Raw genomic sequence first — 23674 nt, forward strand, 5'->3', positions numbered from 1 at the left:
AAGGAGACAACAGACACTGGGGTCTACTTGAGGGTGGAGGGTGGGAGGAGGGAAAGGAGAAGAAAAGATAGCTATTGGGTACTGGGCTTAATACCTGGGTGATGAAGTAATCTGTACAACAAACCCCCATGACATGAGTTTACCTATGTAACAAACCTTCACATGTACCCCCAAACCTAAAATAACACTTTTTTAAAAATAATCAATATTGTCCCAGTCCTCCATTTTACAGATATGGAAGTTGTGATTAAAATGTGATTAATGTCACAGAAATACTAGGAAAGCCAAGCTTCTAACAGTCATTCCAGGGTCATTGCCAGGGTGTCAAATCCTATGTCACTGCACAGTATTACTATAACAACAAAGTGTCCCTTTCCTGACTTCCTATTCCCCATTCTTGATCCAGCATCTTTGGGATCCACTTCCAGGCATTTTCTCTGGGGTCCTGCTGGCTTAAGTCAGCCAGATCCTGCAGCGCCTTTGCCATATGATCCTCCCCTCCCTTAACAGACACTGTACTTACCCAGTTGGATTATACTGAAACTTAGTCCTCATACTGTCTGGTATCGGGGAGAGAAGTGGGGGTAGATTCTGAGCAGGACCAACATTGTTTTGTAGGACACTTGACTTACTCGAAGCTTATAGTTTTCAAGCAAGGAGAAGGTCTTCCATCTTCCAGCAAGGGAGTGGGCCACGTCTGTAGGCCCAGATATTCCGGAGAAGCTGGGAGGCCAAGGTCCTTAAGTGTGTCTAATAAGTTTCCCCATTCCAATTCTCATGTTCCCACTTTTTTCCAATCAGGACCCTGATTCTCTTGAAGGAGACTTACACAGGCTGAGAATTAACCTTCTCTGGCATTCTGCCACTCATAAGTACAGGCTGCACCTGGGCTTCAGTTCAGTTGGCCTTCTGGCTGCCAGTGATGAGGGACTTTTTAAAGGCTTCCATGGAGGCCCTTTGACTCTCACACTTGGGTTTAAATTGGTGGTTAATAGATTTGATCCTGGCATCTATACTTAGTGCATCAATGGTGCTTAGCAATACCCTCCCAATTCAACAATCTTTCAAGTTACTTTTCCACCTGTACTCTCAAATACTAGATACATCACAGAAGTTAATGCATTCGCTTCTACTTATATGCTGTCCTGGTTCACTACAAGTAAAAGTGTTAGCAATTTCACTGCAGGAGCACATCTGAGACTATCTTCAGGGAAGAGATTCTGATGGAACCACTGGTGAGTGAGCAAACTCCAGAATCCCATCCTCAGACTCAGGTGTATATAATTACTACTGCTATCAACTGTCTTAGATTGGGCTCTTGCAGCTGACCCTGAGAATTAGATTCCTGTCCAAGTGATTGCCTGAGGGAGTGCTCTCAGAAGAAATCTGAACAGCGAGGAAGGAAGCAGAATAGGACAGGAAAAGAAGCTGGGAAAGATATGGGTTTAGCTGAAGTCTAGCCTCAGTCTGATCCCACAGGGAGTTCTGGAGCCTCAGTTCTGTACACCCATATCAATCAGTCATTGGCTATGAGCTACCCACGGGGGAAGGCTGTTACCTTCCAGGCATTTTCTGAAATTGTTGGCTTGAATGGAATCCTCAGGGAAAGAGTGTGAACTATTAGCAGCCAACACTCTCAGCAGCTAAGGGATGAGTACGCCAGCTCATTGAAGAGATTCTGGACAGGACACCAACAGCATCTTCAGTAAAGATGTACTTCAATGGTAAGGACACTGAACCCAGAAAGAAGGAGTCACATGCAAGAAGAAATGGTGGACCAAGAAATGTATAAACATCTGGCTGTATCTGAATAAGCACTCTTATACACTACAATAATGGGGAACAATGGCTAATTTGGAGATGGAGGGTATTTAAAAGGCAGAATTTAAACAATAAACATTAATAAGGAATATGGGGTAATTAGTATTGAAAGTTTCTAAAGCCCTTGTATTTTTGAGGTGAAGGGTAAATATATTAATTAAATTTAGATTTTATTATGTCAAGTTATACTTGTAAAAATTTAATGGAGCTCCCAGATGTAGGGAGTAAATTAAACACATGCATCAAATTTGGTCCTCCCCAAATCCAGTTAATTTGTCAGTGAATTTTTTTAAGTCCTGGGCCATGGGAAAATAAACAATAATAACACAATTTTGGAAAATTGGATGAGTGAGAAAAGACTTAGCAGAACTCCCAAATTAAAGTACTAAACCAGCAGCAGGAAAGCCAAGAAGCAACTTGTTTGACACTCAAGAGCCTTCAAGTGTCAGGAATTGGCAGCATCAGATTCTTCTGGAAGTGTGGTGAAGAGGAGAGACTAAAATGAGAATGATGCATTGAAAGTTTATTTAAGAAGCAGTCAGATCACTAGATCCTTTCCAATCATGAAAAGGTACACTACCGCTTCTATTTCCCTTCTCTTTCCCAGGAAGCATATTCACAGGAGAGAGAGAACAGGTTTCCTGCTTGGGGATCCCAAGCAGAGTTGAAGTTGGGAGCACTGTACTGAACAAAGCCAGCTTAAGAAAATGCATGCATATTGAATGCCCACCTCTCTCTACCCCACTATCTCACTTGACCCAGATCCAAAATAGTAATAGCAGACTTTGACTCTTCTGACAGGAGATTGGAAGAATCTTACCTGATCAGTCCAGGAGGAAAACCTAAATGCAGTAACATCAGGGTTCCCTAACTAAGCTGTCCAGAACTTACCATCTTCACCAAAACAAGAAATTAAACCAATAAAGTGGAAGATCAGGGCAACACACCCAGGACATACACCCAGGTTGGGAGACACATGTAGGAGAGTAAGACAGTGAGGCCAGAATGATGGTGAGGGAAAGTCCCAAGATGACAGCTTTATGTCTTATGCATCAGGTATAAAGACCAATAGGCCATCAGAAGAATGAAGCATATTTTGTCAGGAAGATGAAAGCAATGCATCTTAGTAGATTAAGAGAAGATTTAGAGAACTGGTAAATAATTTGGGATTAAATTAGTGATAAGTACATAGAAAACTAAGCAAATGGTAAAACAAGATAATTAGCTCCAGGGCAAGCAAAAAGCTGCTCAGGAAAGAAAAATTTATCATAGTTTCCTACATGGCTCAGCTGTGAACAGTTTGTGCATAGTTACATTAATGTAAATATATTGCTTGATATCAAACGCAAACATAAAATGACTGTATTGTGAGGGCGTGAAGAGGAAAGAAGGCACATATATGGTGGGAGCAGTCATTTTCTAGAGTGGGAAGTCAATAGATAATACCAAAAACTGGAAAATTGAGAAATATAAGAAATTGAGAAATGAATGTTTTTTAGAGACATGGAAGTAGATACCAACATGACCAGTAAAAGAAATGTAAATGATTGTTTCAGGGGAAGGAGGGAGGGATATAAGGCTCATGAGGAAGTATTTGATATTTTCAACTATGAGTTTTTAAAATTTTTGGTGAAATAAAATCTAAATATAAAAACAAAGATGGAATGGGAATATAATGAAATATTCAACTAAAAATATTTTAATGGCAACTACTGAAAGAATGCAAAGAAAATATATAATTTCCAAACCAGTATGAGGAGAAAAAAGAAAAAGAGAAAAAAATAAAACACTTCAGTAATCCCTTAGAAAACAGGAAAGAAGAATGGAAGAAGCAAAGCAGAAGCTTGGTAATAAAGAAAAGAAAAAAAAAGTAAAAGAGGCTGAGCACAGTGGCTCATGCCTGTAATCCAACACTTTGGGAGGCTGAGGTGGGCAGATCACTTGAGCCTAGGAGTTCAAGACCAGCCTGGACAAGATGGTGAAACCCCGTCTCTACAACAAATACAAAAATTAGCCAGGTGTGGCAGCTCGCGTCTGTAGTCCCAGCTACTTGGGAGGCTGGGGTGGGAGGATTGCTTGAGCCTAGGAAGTAAAGGCTGCAGTGAGCAGTGAGCTGAGATTGTGCCACTGCACTTCAGCCTGGGCAACAGAGCAAGACCCTGTCTCAAAGAAAGGAAGGATGGAAGGAAGGAAGGAAGGAAGGAAGGAAGGAAGGAAGGAAGGAAGGAAGGGAGGGAGGAAGGGAGGGAGGAAGGAAGGAAGAAAAAGGAAGGGAAGAGGGACGGAAGGACAGAAGAGAGAAAGAGAGAGAGAGTGAGATTCAACTAAGGTAACCAGGCAAGCTTTGGAAGAGAAGTGTAAGAAGAAGAAAGGGATTTTAAAGAATGTGTGGATAAGTGTGACAGTCTTCAGCCAAACAAACTGATTCCCAGCAGTCAAAGACAAGTACTCAAGCACTGCAGGGCCATGAGGACCTTGAGAAAAAGGAAAGGTGGTAAGGAAATCACTCAGAGCGGGCCCTGGGTGCTGGCCAATAGGTGGTGCTGTCTGTATGGACAGCAATGTTGTCATCCAGAGCAGCAACACAGTGGAAAGGAAATCCAAAGCTTAATGAGCCATTCACATATAAGAACCTTTGCCAGCTAAGTGTTGATAATTTGAGAATTACATATATTTCAGTATTCATTATATGACTCAAGATTTCAATATTTCAATATTCAATCTACACAACTGATATCGTTTGGCTCTGTGTCCCCACCCAAATCTCATTTCAAATTGTAATCCCCACATGTTAGAGGAAAGGCATGGGGGGAGGTGATTGGATCATGGCGGTGGATTTCTCTCTTGCTGTTCTCATGATAGTGAGTAAGTTCTCAAAAGATCTGATATTTTTAAGGTGTGGCAATTCCCCCCTTGCTCTTTTACTCTCTCTTGCCACCATGTAAGATGTGTCTTGCTTCTCCTTCACCTTCTGCCATGATTGTAAGTTTCCCCAGCCCTGCAGAACTGTGAGTCAATTAAACCTCTTTTTCTTTATAAATTACCCATTCTCAAGTAGTTCTTTATAGCACTGTGAAAATACAATAACCAACACTTATACAATACAATAACCAACACTTAACTAGTATTAATTATATACCCCTATTAAGCAAAAGGATTTCTTGAGTGAAGTAAACCCAATAACCAGTATTTCTTTTCAAAAACATCTATAAAAATACTAGGTTTCTATAAAATTTTCCAGATACCACTTGATAGTCATTCAATTGAACATTGAATATGCTTTGTCTCAATTTCCAACATTCAAGATAAATATTTTTTCTATTTTATTACCTTTTTCATTTTATCATTAAAATTATTATATCATATTTTTTCATTTTTAAAGAGAGAGTATTTCAGTAACTTTATAAATTAAGTAAGTTTTTGCTGGCCATTTTGGAAAACTAAACAACTATTTTAAAAGAGGAAAACGCACACCGGAATCAACAAGTAAAAATTGAATGTCATTTTTATTACTATTTTTACTTATAAGAATTATAGAAATATTTGGTTATTTCAATTCCCTATGTGTATAACTCATCACAATTTGATAAGGAGATAGGTTTAAGTGTATGTGTATATAAAAAGAGACTGAAAGGAAAAAGATAAGTAGTTATCTCTGATTGGTTGTTGGGATTAGCTATATTTTCCAAATACTCTAGAATGAATATGTATTACTTTCGTATTATTAATTGGGTTAGGGATTAAAAAAAAATTAGGCCTGTATGTTAAAGTTGAACCAGCATCGTCAGGAAGGATATAAAAATCACCTGCCAAACAATGTCCATTTCAATTTACTGTATGTCCTTTCTAGGACCACTGTGAGCAGTTGTAGGTACCTGTGAGAGTGCTCAATGTAAAAAAAAATTTCTGTTACCCTAAATTGGGTTAATGATAAGTGTCTAAAGGAGATGTAGATCTAGCATATAAGACCTTCTAGAGAAATTTAAAGACATCAGGAATGAAGGCTGCAGAGGAGTACTTTGGAAAAAAAGTTTAGTAATGAAAAGCAATATGAATTGTTTCAGAAATACCGTGACTTGGAGACATGGGAAGTGTATCAAACAGAAGTCGAGGACAGACATAAATGAAGTGACTGGCTTTCAATACGACAGATGTCCAAGACGGAAAAATGTCACCCAGGGCAAGAAAATGACTCAGGCTGGAATAAAGAAACTAGCTGCAGAGAGAATAATTTAATCAGGAAATCGAAGCCAGGTACAGTCACTCACGCCTGTAATCCCAGTGACTCCAGAGCCTGAGGCAGGAGGATTGCTTGAACCCAGGAGTTTGAGGCTGCAGTGAGCTATGATTGCACCACTGCACTCCAGCCTGGGCAACAGAGTAAGACCTCATCTCTACCAAAAAAAAACAAACAAACAAACAAAACCCATAGGGAACCAAGTGGAAGACTTAGGATCTATTGTCTTCTTTTATCTCAAGCTGGTGGAAATAGCTCTGCATTTAAAGGTAGAAATAAGGATGGAGCAGATAGACAACCCAAAACTAAGAGTCATAACTATAAAATACCTAAATACATATTAATTTTCACCAAGCTAAAGTGAAAAATGAAATGTTCAATACTATCTATGCTGTATTTGTACGTATGGGATATGGTGTGTGGTGGATACTGGGCTGGGCCCTTGAAACTATGAGGCTAATAACACTGAGAAGGGAAGATGGGAGAAAAAGCAGTATGGGAGGTCTTAAAGTCTTGGTAACTTCAGAAATGTGCTAGGATTTGTGGGCAGCAGATATTTCAAAACATTAAGTAAAGAACACTGGAGTTAAAGGCATGGAGCTTCAGAAAGTTATTAGCACTGATAGCCAACCACGGTGGTGGGTGCCTGTAGTCTCAGTTACTTGGGAGGCTGGGGTGGGAGGATTGCTGGAGCCCAGGAGTTCAAGGCTGCAGTGAGCTATGATCATATCACTGCACTCCAGCCTGGGTGACGGAGACCCCATCTTTAAAACAAAACAAAACAAAGATAAGAAGAAAAGAAAGTTACTGGCACTGAGAGCCAGACAGATGCCCAAAGTAAGAGCCCATTAAGAATTTCCACCATGAGATAACTGGAACAGTAATTTTCATATTAAAAATAGCTTTCTTCCTGCACTTAAAGGGATGGTTCGAGGAAGCAGATTCTAAAGGAGAGGTGAAAAAGAAGACATGCTCTGGATGTTTGGAGATACAGCTATAAGCCAACATCCTCGGCAAGCCCTGTACCACCCCAATGCCACCACTCCCTGTTCCAGTGGGTAGACATGGGTGGGAGCAGCATGAGTGATTACCGTTAGGGGGCTAATATCACCGTCTTTATTTCATCATGTCTCCAACATCCTGAGAAGGACATAGTGGCCACTATCCCTCAACCAAAGAAACTGATGAGTGCAGTAGGAACCTGCTTTGGAGGGTTCACATTGGGACTCATCAAGGTGGAAGGTAAAAATCTGAAGATACAATTGAAATCTAGATAGCCTTGAATGGTATGGACAAGGAGACATAAAATCTGCTTACTAAATCAGAATAATAAGATGAAAGGTCAATAATAAGCATAGAAAGGTCAATAATGGAATAATAATAGTAGAGGTCATCCCTAGAAGGTTGAAAACATTTTCAAGTAAATATAAGAAACTCCTTATTGTAAGTAGTAGTGCAGGCTGGAAAAATATACTTATTTAGTTCAAATCATGTGACAGGCACTAGGAATAAAGTTAGTCCCTGCCCTCACAGGGTTCAAGGTCTAAATGGAATAATAGATATGAAATAACTCAACAAGTAAATAGCTCAGCTGTTGGAAATCAAACAAGGAGAAGAAAAGAAAAAGGACATAGTGCTATAAAAGAAAATCTTTATAAAATTCAAAACCATTTAAAATATGTCGCCATTGATTTCCTTATTAATAGGTTTTAATACCTCCATCTTTCTCTAATAGTTTTCAGTTTATTAGAAATAGTATGTGAACTTTTTAGATTAAAAATTTCCAGCACAGATTTATCACTTATTATATCCTTTTATTCCTTGAAATGGATGATTGTCAGGTAGAAATTTAGGACAAAGGAGCTGGAAAATATTCATGAGACTCAGGAACAAAGCTATTACTCCAACTGTAAGGTTTCATTATAAGCACGTAAATATAGTTCAAAGTTACCACATCTGTAAACTCAAAAATGCTGCTCACTTGGCTGGATCCAATCAATATTTGCTAACCATTATTTTAGTTATTCTTCATATAGACAGACGCTTTGTTTCTTAGAAGAAATCACTGTCCATAACCAAAAAAAAACTTAATTGTGAAATGGTTTTATTTAAAACAGTCTTTTCTGGTTATTGAACATTTCATATGAATAAATTAATCTTCATGCATATGATAGCTTATCTGAAATAGCTTCCCAATTCTTTAAAATACCAAAGGCTTCTTTTCTCAGAATAAGGCATTTTGCCATCACGTGGTTTATTAGCAGAATAGGAAAATTAATCTTATTCTAAGCAAAAGCAGAAATATAATTAGCCAAACCAAGAAAAGTGTGACATTTGCCCATGAACTCTTCATTCAGATAATATATCTATTTTGGGAACTCATGAGACAGAAGCAAGACAAAAATATGAGAAGATATTAGGTTTCTCTAACTATTGTTCAAAATTAGAAAATGGATGTGGCTTTTATGTTGACTCTTTCAATACCTATATGAAGATAGTTAAAGGATGTATGAAATTAAAAAGCGACATCAGTGATTATTAGTAACTACTTCACAGGAAGCAAACGGGAGTATCATTGTAGTTAGTGGTATGTGAACGACTGATTGTACTGGTTTATCTTCATGCTCTCGCCTCTTCTCTTTAACTCTACGCAGTACATAGTATGGGATTATCTTTACCACATGCCCCTAGAGATTCTGTTTCACTTCACTCAGAACCTAGAAACCACTTGCTCCAAAACTTGAAAAATATTAAGAGCTGATGTCCCCAGACTGCTCCTCAACCTTGAGCTCGAACCACTAAGCTCCAGGGTAAATTCGTTTAAAATGATTGTGCTTAAATTTTCATGTGGGTCTAAATTTGCTGGGAGAGAAAGTCTTTTGTTTGTATTTTCGCACATTGAGAATATTTACCATGATTATTACACTGAAGAGCCTAACTATTCATTTACCCCATTTTTAAGATGTAGTAAAGACATTTTCCTCTGTGGAGGAAGCTATTGTGCAAGATTTTATCATGTATTGGCGGAAAATTTGAGTGTCTGAATTTTGTTTCACATATGTGTTCAGCTTTGCATGTGTATTTCTGTGTGCATATAGAACATAGAAAAGAGTCTAGATTAGAAGATAATGTACTGACAATGTTCAAAGTGATTATTTCATCACGCAGGTAATAAGCATAGTACTCCATAGGAAGTTTTTTGATTCTCTCCCTCCTCCCAGCCTCCACCCTCAAGTAGGCCATGGTGTCTCTTTTTCCGCTTTTTGTGTTCATGTGTTCTCATGGTGTATCTCCCACTTATAAGTGAGAGCATGCAGTATCTGGTTTTCTGTTTCTGCATTAGTTTGCTTAGGATAATGGCCTCTAGCTCCATCCATATTGCTGCAAAGGACATGATCTTTTTCTTTTTTATGGCTGCTTAGTATTCTGTGGTGAATATGTACCATATTTTCTTTATTCAGTCTACTATTGATGGGCATATAGGTTGATTCCATGTCTTTGCTATTGTGAATAGTGCTGCAATGAACATACATGTGCATGTGTTTTTATGGCAGGATGATTTACATTCCACTGGGTATATGCCCAATAATGGGATTGCTGGGTTGAACGGTAATTCTATTTTAAGTTTTTCAAGGAATTGCTACGCTACTTTTCACAATGGCTGAACTAATTTACATTCCCACCAGCAGTGTATAAGCGTTACAAAAGATTATTTATGAAGACAGAGATTATATGGGAGTATTCTTTTCTTTAGCATGTTCCTCTTTATTTTCTAGATTTTTTTTGCAGTGAGCATACCTTACTTCATGATGAGGAAAAAAATTGTTATTTCTCCAAAATGACTGAGCAGTTTGTATGAACACAATACTGCAATAAGTAATTACGGGAATTAAAAAAAAACTTTTTTTCTTTTTTGGAGCTTTCAATATTCACAAATAAATTGACGCTATGTGATAATATTTGTATTGCCTGTTATGTATCAGATACTTCTCCCATTTAATTTCACATACTCTATCTCCTTTAATCCAAATATAGAGAATACATGTAAATCCACTCCATGTTATTGTAAATAATGTTGACAATGAACATAGAGATGCATATTTTATAATAGTAAGTTACAAACACAAAGTAAAAATAGGCAGACAGAAAGCTATGCATAAAGACTAAAGGGAAAGCAGTCTAGATAGTGATAATTTTTTTCTACCAACTAAATTTACTAGTAGGAGCATGTATCCTTCCCATAATGGGAGAAAAAATGAACTTTTAATGATTTTTAACATATATGACAGCCATGGAACAATTCTGTGCTAACTTTGGGGTACTTATGTGCAGCATATTGGACATTTAGTGAAAAGAGAGACCACTGTGAGATGATGAAGCTGGAGAAGGCTTCAAGAAGCAATGCAGGGCTCCCTGAGTACTTTAAAGGAAGGGAAAGTTTCTTTAAGAATGTGGAAGGAGGACAAGGAGGACGTTATAGAAAGAAAATAACTTGTACAACAGCAACAAGAACTGGTCCATTTATAAAACAGGAGCTTGCTCAGGTGGTGGCTATGAGGATTAAGTAAGTTGGTGCACCTGGCATCATGCCTGAATGAAAGGTGCTCAGGAAATATTAGCCATCATGATGATGGTGCTGGTGAGAATGGAGAAGAGGGATGAATTCAAGACACAGTCCAAAGGACTAAATGGTAAACTTGTTCACAGTCTGGTTCCTTGAATAGAAATAAAAGTGCCAAATAGGCCTTCATTGTTTCTCTCCCAAGAGAGCAGAAGGAGAGTGCCCGTGTCAGAAGGGGAACAGGCTGGGGAGCTGGGCAGCAGGGGTAGGTGATGAGACAAGTTTGGGACACTCAGAGTTAAAAGTTTGGGAGGTAAAGGAAGTGTGGCCAGTGAGGCGGAGAACACAGAGGTGGCATCAGAGAAACAAGAGAGGGAAGATTTTTCAGGGATGTCATCAACTCTTCAGCCAGCGGAATGCAGGCGGAGTTGAAGAAGTGGAAAGAGAAGTCCCTCAGTGCTATACTAATTGTGTCACCACTTGAAGCACCCTGCTTTCCCTATTCTTGCATCTAATTGCAGTACGCTACCATGAAACCAGTTCATTCTGTGCTCAATTTGCTGTTCTGCTTAAAGGGACTTAAACTTGATACCTGAAGGCCAGTTGCTACGGGCCATTACATTTATTTCCTTCCAGGCATTGTATGTAGATAAGCAATTAGATGAGGGAAAAGAAGTTGAGAGTCATTTATCATGGAGAAAAAAAAAAAAAACCATTCAACAAGGCTGTACAAGCAAACCTATTTAGATTGAAGAAAACATAACGTTTAATTCTCAGAAACAAATGCAAGCCTCGGTCCAAGTCTTCCTTCCCAAACCTTTGTCATTTAGGGATTGAGAAGCTGAGTTGGGTGAAAGGTTGAATAGAAAACAAAAAGGAAAGCTAGAAACACGCTGAGCTCATGGAGATGCAGCTTCTTCTGTAGCTCCTAAAGCCCAGCTGAGGTATCATCTAATGAGAATTCTCTCTATGCCAGGCACTGCGCTAAGCATTTCACATCATTAACCAATGTGAGTTTTAGGCAACCCCGAAGCAGGCAGTCTGTTCATCCCAATTGCAGCTGAGAAACAGGGTGAGTGAGGCCAAGCAGCTGGCCCAAGGTCCCCTGCCTGGTAAGTGGCACAGCCTGCAGCCCTGCCAGGTGGTCCTGCTAACCAAGCCGGCGCTTTTCTGTCACCATGCCGTATCGCCTCCCGTACTATCAAAATGTACTATCAAATTTACCTCAAAAGAAAACCCTCTGTCTTCTGAGAAGCTCCGGAAGGTCCAACACGTTGCCTGCCAACAAAAAAACATGAAGAGTTAAAAATTAGCTATCGTACGTAAATTATTAGCCATTTACATTGTATGTAAATTATGTTTCATTAAACTTTAAAAATTAGAAAAAGATTTTCTTCTGGTAGATTTCCTTAAAAAAGTGTTACCTTTAAGTTTTACACTTAAGTGACCCATGTTATCTGTTTTAATGAATAATTTTCCTAATAGAAAATTATTATGTGGAAAACTACGACGGTAGCGGGTGGCAATTTAGGATAAAAAGTGATCAAGTGAACTCAGGACAGCGAACTCTTTCTAACTGCGCACAAATATAACTGTCTATTCTCTTCCTGGTGGCATCAACTCAAAATTTCAGTTCATTCATTTATTCAGCAAATATTTATAAACCAAATGAACCATATGAAATCGCCATTCTTGTAGGTCAAAAATGGTCATATGTGGGTAATTCCAAATAGTTCAACCTAATATGAAGAACCCTCTGTGTGGTAGAATAGATAATATCATGGGAGCTGGGAATATAGTCTTGCATAAATGGACCAAGGTCCTGCCTTTATCTTGCTACATTCTGGTGGTCTAAGACATAAACAAGCAAAAAGATACATTAACAAAATTATCCCAAATTGTGATAAGAAATAAACAGGATAAAATAATTAATAACTTACTTGAGGTGAATTGAAAGCTACACTGAATAAAGAGATCAGAAAAAGTAAGGTGGATGGAACATCAGAGGAAGATCATTCCAGACAAGGGGAGAGGCAGGTTGAACGTCCATGAAGCAGATTGAAACTCCTTAGCAGGGCCCTGCTGAGTGAGGGGACTTGTTATTAGGGGAGTTCAGAGAAGTAAATGGAAGTGAGTTTTGTAGGGCTTCAAGGACCCTGACAAAGAGTTTGAATTTTATTCTAAGTTAGAAGAAAGTCACTGAAGGCTTTTTGCCTAAAGAGTTGACATGATTCAGTTAATGTATTAAAATATAACTTATGGTGATGGGTACAGTGGCTCAAACCTGTAATCCCTGCTAGTTGGGAGGTTGAGGCAGGAGGTTTGATCCCAGGAGTTCAAGGGCAACAGAAGGAGACCTTGTATCTTTTATATCTATATCTATATCCATCTATATCTTATGGGTAAAGGAAATATTCTATATTTTTATCATAGTGGTTACATGACTGAATATATTTGTCAAAACTCACTGGAATGTATACCTAAATATGTGAATTGCTGCATTTTACTCTATGCAAATTGTACCTCAAAAAACCTAACCAAAAACAAACAAATGAAAAGATAACTCTGAGCTGAAGCCATTAAAAATTATTTATCTGGAAGCTATTGGTATGTCTTGTTTGTTTGTTTCCTTTTGGTGGTATCATTTGTTGAACTCTGCCTGCTTAAACTCTGCACATGTATTTTTTTTTGTAAAATTAAAATTATATTTTATGAAAGATAACTCTGGCTACTGACTGGAGAGGAATTTATAAGACAGCAAGACTAGAGACTGGGAGACCATTTAGGAGACTATGGCAAGAAATGAGACTATGGCAAGAAATGAGACTATGGCAAGAAATAGTCGTGGTGGTGATAGTGGAACTGAGAAATGGGAATAACATTAAAAACATAATTTGGAAGTAGAACTGACAAGACTTACTGATGGGTTGGATGTGGGCAGAGGGGGTAAAGAAAAAGAAATCAAGGATGACTTTTGGGGTGGGGGTGTCCACATGGACAAGGCATGGTTGAAAAGAGGGAACAAACAGTTCAATGAAGGGTTTGTTTTGGACTTTAAAATATTTGAGGCGGCTATTTATTATTCATCCAAGTGGAGGAGTCAAGAAGGAAGTTGGACACAGAGGCCTGCAGTTGAAGGAAGAGATGAGGACTAAATCTGTATGTCATCAGTATACATACGATGTCTTAGTCACTTTGTGCTGCACAATATTACAGACTGGGTAATTTATAAATTATAGATATTTATTTCTCTCAGTTCTAAGGGCTGGGAAGTCCAAGATCAAGGCACCAGCAAGTTTGGTGTCTGATGAGGACCTGGCATCTTCTCACTGTAGCATCCTTACATGGGAGAAAGGAGAAGAACAAAAAGAGCTTAGCTAGTTCCCTCCATCCCTTTTATAAGGTTCTAATTCATTTATACAGGCAGATCCCTCACGACCTAATCACCTCCTAAAGGCCTTGCCTCTTGACAATGCTGCACTGGGGATTGAGTCTCAATATGAATTTTGAAGGGGACATATACATTCAAACCATTTCACATGGTATTTAAAGCCTTGGGCTGGATTGAGATAGAAGACCAAGGGTAAAGAAGAGGGCCCTATAGCACTACAAATTTGGAAGACTAGTAGGGAAGGAGGATCAGCCAAGCAGGGAGATCCACATTGTCTGTTCCAAGAGGTATATATATTTAACCCTTTGAGTGTTGAATCTGTGAATTAGTCAGTTTGGCTGCCATAACAAAACACCATAGACTGGGTGGCTTAAACAATAGATATTAATTTTTTCACAGCTCTGAAGAGGGAAGAGGAAGATCAGGGTGCCAGCGTGGTTGGCTTCTAGTGAGTGCACTCTGTGCCTTGCAGATAGCTGCCTTCTCACTGCACGCTCATGTGGCCTTTCCTCGGTGCTTGCCATAGAGAGAGCTCTCTCTCTCTCTCCGTCTTTTTATGAGGCTACAGTCCTATAGAATTAGGGTGCCACCCTTATGACTCCTGTAGCCTTAGTTATCTGCCAAGGACCCTATCTTCAGATACAATCACACTGAGGATTAGGGCTTCAACGTATGAGTTTGTCAGGGGAGGACACAATTCAGTTCACAGTAACCTGCAAGGAGACATATCAGGGGCACATTCTTGTCACACGGCCAAACTTCCATTGCAAAATGACTACATTACAATGGATCTTTATATGAGTGTCTAGCACATTGTTGCAATTATTTGATGAACTATCATTTTGAATTTGTTCAGCTGCACTTGTGGAGGAGGAGGGGTAGGAGATGAAAAAGAAGAAGAAGATGATCATCGATTATGTACTCACTCTGTATCAAGCACTGTTCTAAGTACTTTTGCATGCATCACTACTTCGTCCAGTTTTTATGATAACCCTTTGAGGTAGATATTTTGTTTTACAGATGAGGAAACAGAGGCCCCAAGAAGTTAAATAACTTGCTTAAGATCACAGAGCTAATGAGTGGCAGAACAATTATTCTAGCTCTGATTTTAAGGGATTTACTTAACTTTTACTTGGAATTCATGGAGTCATTGGGCTTTATTTAATAAGTATCTCATCATATTCTAGTTATATCATCTCCTATAAGTGTTCAAAATTTGATAAAATTCAGATCAAAGGTGTTTTGGGGGCATTTTGGTGTCAGAAGCCATGAGGCCATTAAAACTCATGAGGGCTGCTTTAGTTTCCTAGGGCTGCCATAATAAAGTAGCACAAACTAGAAAGCTGTACATCTGAAATCAAGGTGTAAGCAGAGCCGTGTTTCCTCTGAAACCTGTAGGGGAATCCTTCCTCTCTTCTTAGCTTCTGGTGGTTTTATAGCAAGCTTTGACACGTAGTGAAATCTGACACAAATTAAGTACATAAGAAGCTGTTCCTTGGTTTTCAGCTGCATAACTCCAGTCTCTGTCTTCATCATTGCATGGTCTTCTCCTTGTGTGTTTCTGTCTTCACATGGCCATCTTCTAATAAGGCCACCAGTCATATTGGATCAGAGGCCTACCCTACTCCAGTATGACCTCATTTTTATTTAACTAATTATATCTGCAATGATCCTATTTCCAAATAAGGTCACATTCTGAGATACTGGGGGTTAGGAAGATATGTTGAAGAGCATGTCTTTTTTTTTGGTGGGGGTTGGGGAGGATACAATTCAACCCAGAATTCCAGACAGGGGCTTTGTGGATAGAGTTTATAATCTTAAGGAAGCACATCCCTTATTTCATCTCCCCTTTTCCCAATCCTAACATCCACAGAAAATTTCCTGCCAGCAGTTCCTTCCTTGGGTTTAAGGATTCCCCAATGCCAGATGTTAAGTCTGCTAGGAAATCTGTAGACCACAGGGAAGAAAATGCAAAAAGAAAATAAAGTCCTCAAATGCAGCTAAAAATTGCTAGCTTCTATTTTTAAAATAAAGCAACATAATACTTTTTCTTCCAATTTATCTACCTTCAAAAGTCCCAACAAATGTTGTTCGTAGTACTGAAATCTATCATTTCCCTTTATTTTTTCCATTCTTCAAATTGAGCTATTAAGTCAAATGCTAATTACATGAAACATTGTTCTCTGTTAATAAATGTTTTGAGAAGTTCTGCCGCCTCAAATAAACAAATAAAACATTAAGTCAGTGTGGCATTTCAGTTGAATAGGGAAAAACTAGATTACTTAATAAATGGTACAGCAATATTTGGCTAACCATTTGGGAAAAAATAAAATTAGATGCCTACTTCACAAATTAAATTTCAGATTTGTTAAAGATTTATATATAATTAAATTAAAGACAGATCCTTAAAATTCAATAAAATTTAAAAAATTGCAAAATAAAATATGTGGCTATTTAGTGTATTTGGGTATTGGGAAGTCTTTTGACTAGTTATAAACACTAAGATATAATTTACAAAGAGATAAATCAACTTACAAAAAACTTAAAACTTCATGTATATATAGAAAGCAGCACTATAACATGGAAAAAGGAAAGATGCATACAGTATATGACAAATAATATGTTTATATTATGCATATAAAAACACTTACAAATAATTTGCAAATTAATGTTCCAATAGAAAAATGAGAAATAATTTTAAAAGGCAATTCACAAAAGAAGAAATACAAATAACCATTAAACATATGAAAAGATGTTTCTTTTTACTTAAAAAACAAATAGGATCTTTCAGGCCTCTTTCAGTTCTAACACACTGTGATTCTGAATACAAAGGTTTCAGTTGGAACATTTTTGCATAGATTTGCCCTTGAACTGAACCTCCAGTGCAAAATACTTTAATTGCTAACATAAAGTTTCATAAAAGCACATAAATCTCATTTATTATAGTTCTAATATGAAAATCTGGATCTCTTTAGAACCAGCTTTATTAGGATCTCTTGGCTGCATATGTCAGAATCTCAACTCAAACTCTCTTATGAAAAAAATTCAGCAGATGTCTACCACCTCCACACATTCCTACATCCTTAATCTCCCTGTGTTTTAAAACTCTAAATGAGTTCTCTTAGAAATATAAAGGCAAAGACACCTCATTCTTCTCTCTTGCTGAGTGGAGAAGAATTAAATTCTCATACTTATAAGTCGAACAGCTTTAAGTAGAATAGACATGGAGGGCCAGCTAACCTCTCCAGCGACTTCCTAGTAATTTAACTTTTCAGTTCCAGAAGTTTCTAGAAGAAAACCCCATTCCTGGCTTAACTCAGCCTATAACCTGAGCCTCTAGTTGCATCTCACTGAAGCACCATAAGAATAGCAACCATGTGTTTAGAACAGCAACCATACGACAGCAACCATGTGTCATGGCTTATTCTCATCAAGCCTCCAGGTTGTAGGGAGCTTCGGTGATTATATTTTTGTTTAACAGCCCTCTCACCCACCCTCCTCTTGGGTTCCTTGGGTAATCACTCCCTCTCTTTCCATGTGGTCCAGGCAAACCTGTCAATCACAACATCTTCACCACCTTCCCCTTGCCAAAGGCTTACAACCCAAGCCAGTCAATCAGAATGTTCCTAGGGTTGGATTAATTGTTGTTAGGAGAAATGCACTTTTTGCCATGGAGCAGGCAAACTCAGGATGAGAAGCTGGGCTACTGGTGGCCAAAGAAAGTGATTTCTCACAGGAGAAGTTGAGGAAAGAAACAGGGAGGCAGGGCCAGAGATGATGAGGGAGACAGAGAACTCCGTAAACAGGAGTACCGAAGTTTGTTGTAGCCCCGGACTTCCCAGATGTGTAAGACAATAAATTCTCTTTTTGCTTACTAGCTTGAATTGGGTTTCTGTCATTTAAAACCTAATGGCTCCAACTTGTGGGCACTTCTGACTTACAGGGCAGCTCCCACAGACCTCAGTAGCTTTACCAGTCTTCCTTGTCTTGTGAGCTACCATCTTCTACTCTTTTGGGAGTGTGCGTGCATGCTTAGGATTATCAAATGATTTCAATGACAACAAAGAACTGATTGTGGTTTTGTTCTTCCAAAAATTCATCTTTCACTTCCAAAGAAGTGAGATTTTACACACACACACACACACGCACACACGCACACACACACTGCATTTCTGTTGGGTCCACTGATTCATGAATTTACCCTGACACTAAACATTCCTTTCCATTCTAGTTTTCAATACAGAGCCAGTTTCAGCAAGCTTAGAATAGCAGGTTCTTTGCTGAAAAAAATATTTTGTTTCAGGCAAGTTCTGTCAGTTGATGATTGCTATATTACAAATTACCCCCAAGCTTACCAATTTTTTTTTTTTTTTTGAGACGGAGTCTCACTCTGTCACCCAGGCTGGAGCACAGTGGTGTGATCTCGGCTCACTGCAAGCTCCGCCTCCCGGGTTCACACCATTCTCCTGCCTCAGCCTCCCGAGTAGCTGGGACTACAGGTGCCCACCACCACGCCCAGCTAATTTTTTGTATTTTTAGTAGAGATGGGGTTTCACCATGTTATCCAGGATGGTCTCGATCTCCTGACCTCGTGATCCACCCGCCTTGGCCTCCCAAAGTGCTGGGATTACAGGCGTGAGCCACCGCGCCCAGCCAAGCTTACCAATTTTTTTAAAAAACAAATGTCATCTCACAGTTTCTGTGAGTCAGGAGTCCAGGAGCTTCTTAACTGGGTGGTTCTGCCTCAGAATCTCTCACAAGACTTCAGTCAAGGTGTTTGCCAGGGCTGTATTCATCTGCAGCCTCAACTGGGGAAGGATTTGCTTCTGCACTCACTGCCACGGCTGCCAGCAGTCCTCAGTTCCTCACTACGTGGGCCTCTCCACAGGCTGCCTCACAGCATGGCAGCTGGCTTCTCCGAGTGAGGAGTTTAAGAGTGAAAAAGTGAGCACGCACCTCCCAAGACAGAAGCCACAGTCTTTCAATAATCTAATCTCAAAAGTGACATTTCATCCTTTCTGCCAGATCTATCTGAGTCCTTATGTCCAGCCCACACTAAGAAAAGGGGAATGTAGCTCCATCTCTTTGGGAGAGAAGCATCAAATAACTTGTGAATATTATCTTTAAAAATCACCTTACAAGTGGTGGCGCTCGCTTCTCCAAAGAGAATCTGAGTTCTTTCTAAAATACCAATCCTTTGTTAAAATGAGATGGAGAGTAGATGAGGGAATGCAGCGGCAATAGGGAAGACAACTATTCCAGGTAGAAGAGAAATGCTGTATCATCCACACACATTCCTCAACATACCTAAAGCTACCTTTAATGGTTTTAAGTAAGAAAATGGCTGAGGGATTTAAAAATCTTTAATGGGAATTAGAAAGCCCCTAGCAATACAACTCAGTAAACTGGCATTAAGATACAGCCATGCGATTATCGTGGATGGGAAAACGGCAAGATTGTAACAATCTGCAAGCATGTTGATTGATCAGAGTTGCAAAGTACTATGAGCTGGCCGATGGCATACACAAAGTGCAGAGGAGCTCTCAACTCTGTAAGAAGAACAATGCCGGAGGAGTAGAATAGCTATCCTTAGCCCAGGTGCTCACTGCCCCTGTCACGTATGCTCATGCCACACCTGAGATACCAGGAGGGCAGCGTCTTGTCCTATGTCCTCCCATTACTTTCATTCCCAAAGTATTTCTGCCTATAGAGCTCTTCCGGCCTCTAAACTCCTTCCAGCTGTGTCCAACCTTTTCAATGCAAGGACTATTTTGCTTATCTGTGGTGGTGGATGTCATGAAAACTATGCATGGACCTTTTTTTTTTTTTTTTTTTTTTTTAGGTCATCAGCTATTGTTAGTGTTAGTGTATTTTATGTGTGGCCCAAGACAATTCTTCTCCCAATGTGGCCCAGTGCAGCCAAAAGGTTGGACACGCCTGCAATACTTAGTAATGTATATCATTCATGTGGTGATAAATATCTTCAGACGAAGAATAATTCTTTTTTTAAAATTTAAAATCACAATTATTTGATGTTTTTCATTTGTGAATGCCTTTTACATGTAGTCCCTACATTTAGGTGCTTTGGATGCATGACTTTTCACTAGACCAGTGGTTCTCAACCTTGGCTGCACATTAGAATCACCTGGAAGTTTCTTTCCATTCCAAGATTCAACACAGAAATTAACAGAATACTGAATCAATTTCAATGAACTAAGAGTGACAATTTTTACTAAAAAATATTTACTTAGCAAGAAGCCAAGATTGACTGTTGTTTTAGAGTCTTTCTACTCGAAGTGTGGCCTATGGACCAACAGCATTCTTATCAGATGATAAGTGAGCTGGGAGCTTGTGAGAAATGCAGAATCCCAGGCCCCACATCCAAATTATAATTTGCATTTTAACAAGATTCCTGGGTGATTCATACGCCCATTAAAATTTGAGAAGCACTCATTTAGACTTTCCCATTACCCTTCTCTTTATCACTCTGAATATTCTCCAACTTCCTATCTAGTGACCACAGAGGGTACTGACAGATTACAGCTTCAAAGCATAACCAGGATCAATAGAATACATTCATTCTTTCATTCCAGAAAAATCTATTTAGATGTAGGGCCAGTGCCTATGCTTGTGCAGACTGTGCACCACATCTGGGAAGTACTATTCACAATGTAGAAATTTTACATTTGGATTTTATTGCTACACCATTTTCTAGCAGACGGCAGTACAGTGTCTTGCAACAAAATCAATACACATAAGCTTTGGCTGAATGGAAGTTAAGTGCTTGAGGAAGGAATGTCTTTTTTCTATTCAATGGCCTATAGGCTAGATGTCACCTTAATGGGAGCCAGGACCTGGCAACACAGCAGCAAACCAGAGAGGCCAAATTATTAACTATTTCCCATTTAATACAATTTGTTTATTAGTTTTTATGCAAAATTATGGTATGGTAGTTTTAAAAAATTCAATGTATGTGGCATATTTTCCTTCCATTGCATACGATATAGCCTACAATTTTAATGTTTAATATACAAAACACAGCTTGTGTTTTTTTCCCTTCACAAAGTTTATAACAAATCTTGGAGCGCAATCTGTAATTACAATACATCGTATGCAGAAATTCCAGCCACTTTCGAGCTTTATACTTTATGGTGTAGTTTCCAAGTACACGTTATAGCAGAAGTGAAAGAAAAACTCTATTTTTCTGAATATTCTATAATTCCTGTCATCAAGTGCCTTGGATGTGGACATTAGAGATCAGTCAATATTTGTTTTAAAACAGTATTTTCAACTTCTTTTATATACTTTTCTGTCTTTCTCTCTCTCTCTCTTTCTTTTTTTCCCTAATGGAATGCTCTGTCCTGCTTGCAAGTTTTGGTGCAGAGAAGCCAACAAAGATTTATAAATAGGGATGCTCATGACATCATGATTTACGACAGGTAAAAACAGGAAGCATTTTAGATTTCAAACAAAAGGTAGTTATCAAATATATCACTACACATCCAAGTAACTAAATAGCACATTTATTAAAAACTATGAGTCTAAAGAATAATTAATATCATAGGGAAAACATTTATGTAAAATGTTAAGCAAAAAGTTTTAAGAGGTTAAAAGGAAAAAAAAAATCAGGGTGCAAAACCACATACATAGTGTAATCTGAATGTCCCTGGCTCCTTGCTACTTAGCTGGTCTACGGACTAGCATCATAGCATCACCAGGAGCTTGTTGGAAATGCAAGATTTTAGGCTCCACCCTAAAACCCACTGAATCGGAATCTTCAGGTGATTCTTAGGCACTCGAAAGTCTGAGAAGTATCACCCAGGCCGTATCAACTTTGGGGAACAGTGGTCAGTTTACTTCTACAATTTGAACCAAAGTTCATTAGCTCATTAGCACCGACCTACCTAATGCAGGACCACAGTCCCCCTCCAAGACACATCCAGTGTCTTAGGCAGGTATCTATAAGTATAAATTCAGGCACTGGGGTGGTGGCCTTACCTGTCCCTCAAAATCCCCAAGGGGGAAATGCTGTTTGATACAAATGATTATTTGAAAATTATGTCAAAGAAAGGGGAATCTATTTCTTTTGCCCTGGCAATCCCTCATTAAATATGCCTTTTATGTCATCTCTGCCCATTCGTTTTCCTTTCGGCTTCCTCCTATCCCTCACACATGCCTCTCCTCTCTTACCTGAGAATCCTGAGAGAGTCAAGGAGGAAACCTGGTGTTCCAGAGTTAGGAGAAACGACTGTGCCCTCATGTACCATGATGGATACTATCACAGAAAGCAACATGCATGCTCTCCCACCATCCACACTGGGACGTGAGCATCACTATCCCTTTATCATCCCAATGGCCACTTTGCTGCAGCACCAACCTTGCTGATGTGACCCATTCTGGTCCACTGCTGGTTAAAAACTCCCCTCTGACCACTGCCCACATGGTTGGATCAGTCCACCGTGGACCCAAGATGTGACTCTCACTGCTTTACACTGCCATGTGGGACTCTATAAGGTCACTACTCTCTTGATAGGCATGTGGGATCTGCAGTGTGGGATCCCCCATGCCTACCGAGAAGGAGAAATGGGGGAGCATATAGGTTTAAGTAGAAATTAGACAAGGGATTGGGACTAGAGAACATTTCTCCTGAGAGTTTTCAAGGAAAAAGACTTGCCTGGTTATGTTCAAGCATAAAGTATATAATACAATACAAAACAGAGTAATAGGTGTTAGGAAACGTAGTGTCTTGTCTTGGTTCTTTGTGTGACCTTGGGAAAGTCATTTTCAGATGCTTATTTTTCCCCTTTTGGAATGCTGGGTAAAAATAATTGCACAGTCCATCTCCCAATTCTGGTTAAGTTCAAATGAGATGATGTTTGGAAATGAGCTTTGAAATCCCTTAGGTGTAGCATTAGCACCAATAATATGCAGCACCATGGTAAGAAAAAAAGACAGTCTGTTCTTTAAATTGGCCTCAGAAAAATTCACACCTGGATATCTGGTGGAACCTGCAAATTGGTGTTGTATATTTTAAAGTCAAGAGTAACCTTGGAGACTGGTCTAGATTGAAAATCAACAGTACATTGGAGAGTGATACACAGCTCCTAGCTGGTAGGGGAAATTGAGGGCATCCAGAGTGAATAAAGTATTTATTGCGGTGGAGTGAGCAGGGGGGAGTAGCATTATGTTCTAAAAACATTCAATAAAAGAATAGCCACCTTCCGTTTTCTCAAACATCTATGCAGGTGCTTAGATCCCAAATATGGAAGATTTTGCATTTCACAAGGTATCTTTCATTCTACATAGATTTGTAGCAAAATAAAAATCATTATACATTTTAATGGCTTTGTTGATTTGGTTAAATTAGCTGAAGGCATTGTTGACTGCACATAAAATCCATTTCTCAAAGTTCTTTAGCTTTTTGACCCTTTCATCAATTCTTCTTCAGTTCTGTCATCATTCTTTCCCTCCTCTTTCAATTTCCTATCTAAAATGTTCCAAAATAATTATAAAAGTCAGAGAGGCATGATGAACCTTTTTATTGGAAAGAGATGAACCTTCCAAACTCATTCTCAGCTCATCATCACAGCATTTGGAATATGGAGTAAAAATTCATATTTTGCAAGTGCCTTGGTGCTTAAGCATGCAGAACAGATGTTTCATT

General features: G+C 38.9%; 1 long non-coding RNA gene across 2 annotated transcripts in view; it reads right to left on the minus strand.

Moving 5' to 3' along the window:
* NUTM2B-AS1 (NUTM2B antisense RNA 1) overlaps positions 1–23674 on the minus strand; it is a 135095-nt gene that overhangs the window by 62928 nt on the left and 48493 nt on the right. Inside the window, exon 6 of one of the 2 annotated variants that reach the window (NR_120613.1) lies at positions 11844–11897. This is a non-coding gene — a long non-coding RNA (NUTM2B antisense RNA 1). Of the gene's footprint in view, positions 1–8144; positions 11898–23674 lie in introns of those variants that run through there. The other variant, NR_120611.1, reaches the window with a different exon arrangement.

This window comes from Homo sapiens, chromosome 10, assembly GCF_000001405.40.
Source record: "Homo sapiens chromosome 10, GRCh38.p14 Primary Assembly".
Taxonomy (NCBI): Eukaryota; Metazoa; Chordata; class Mammalia; order Primates; family Hominidae; genus Homo; species Homo sapiens.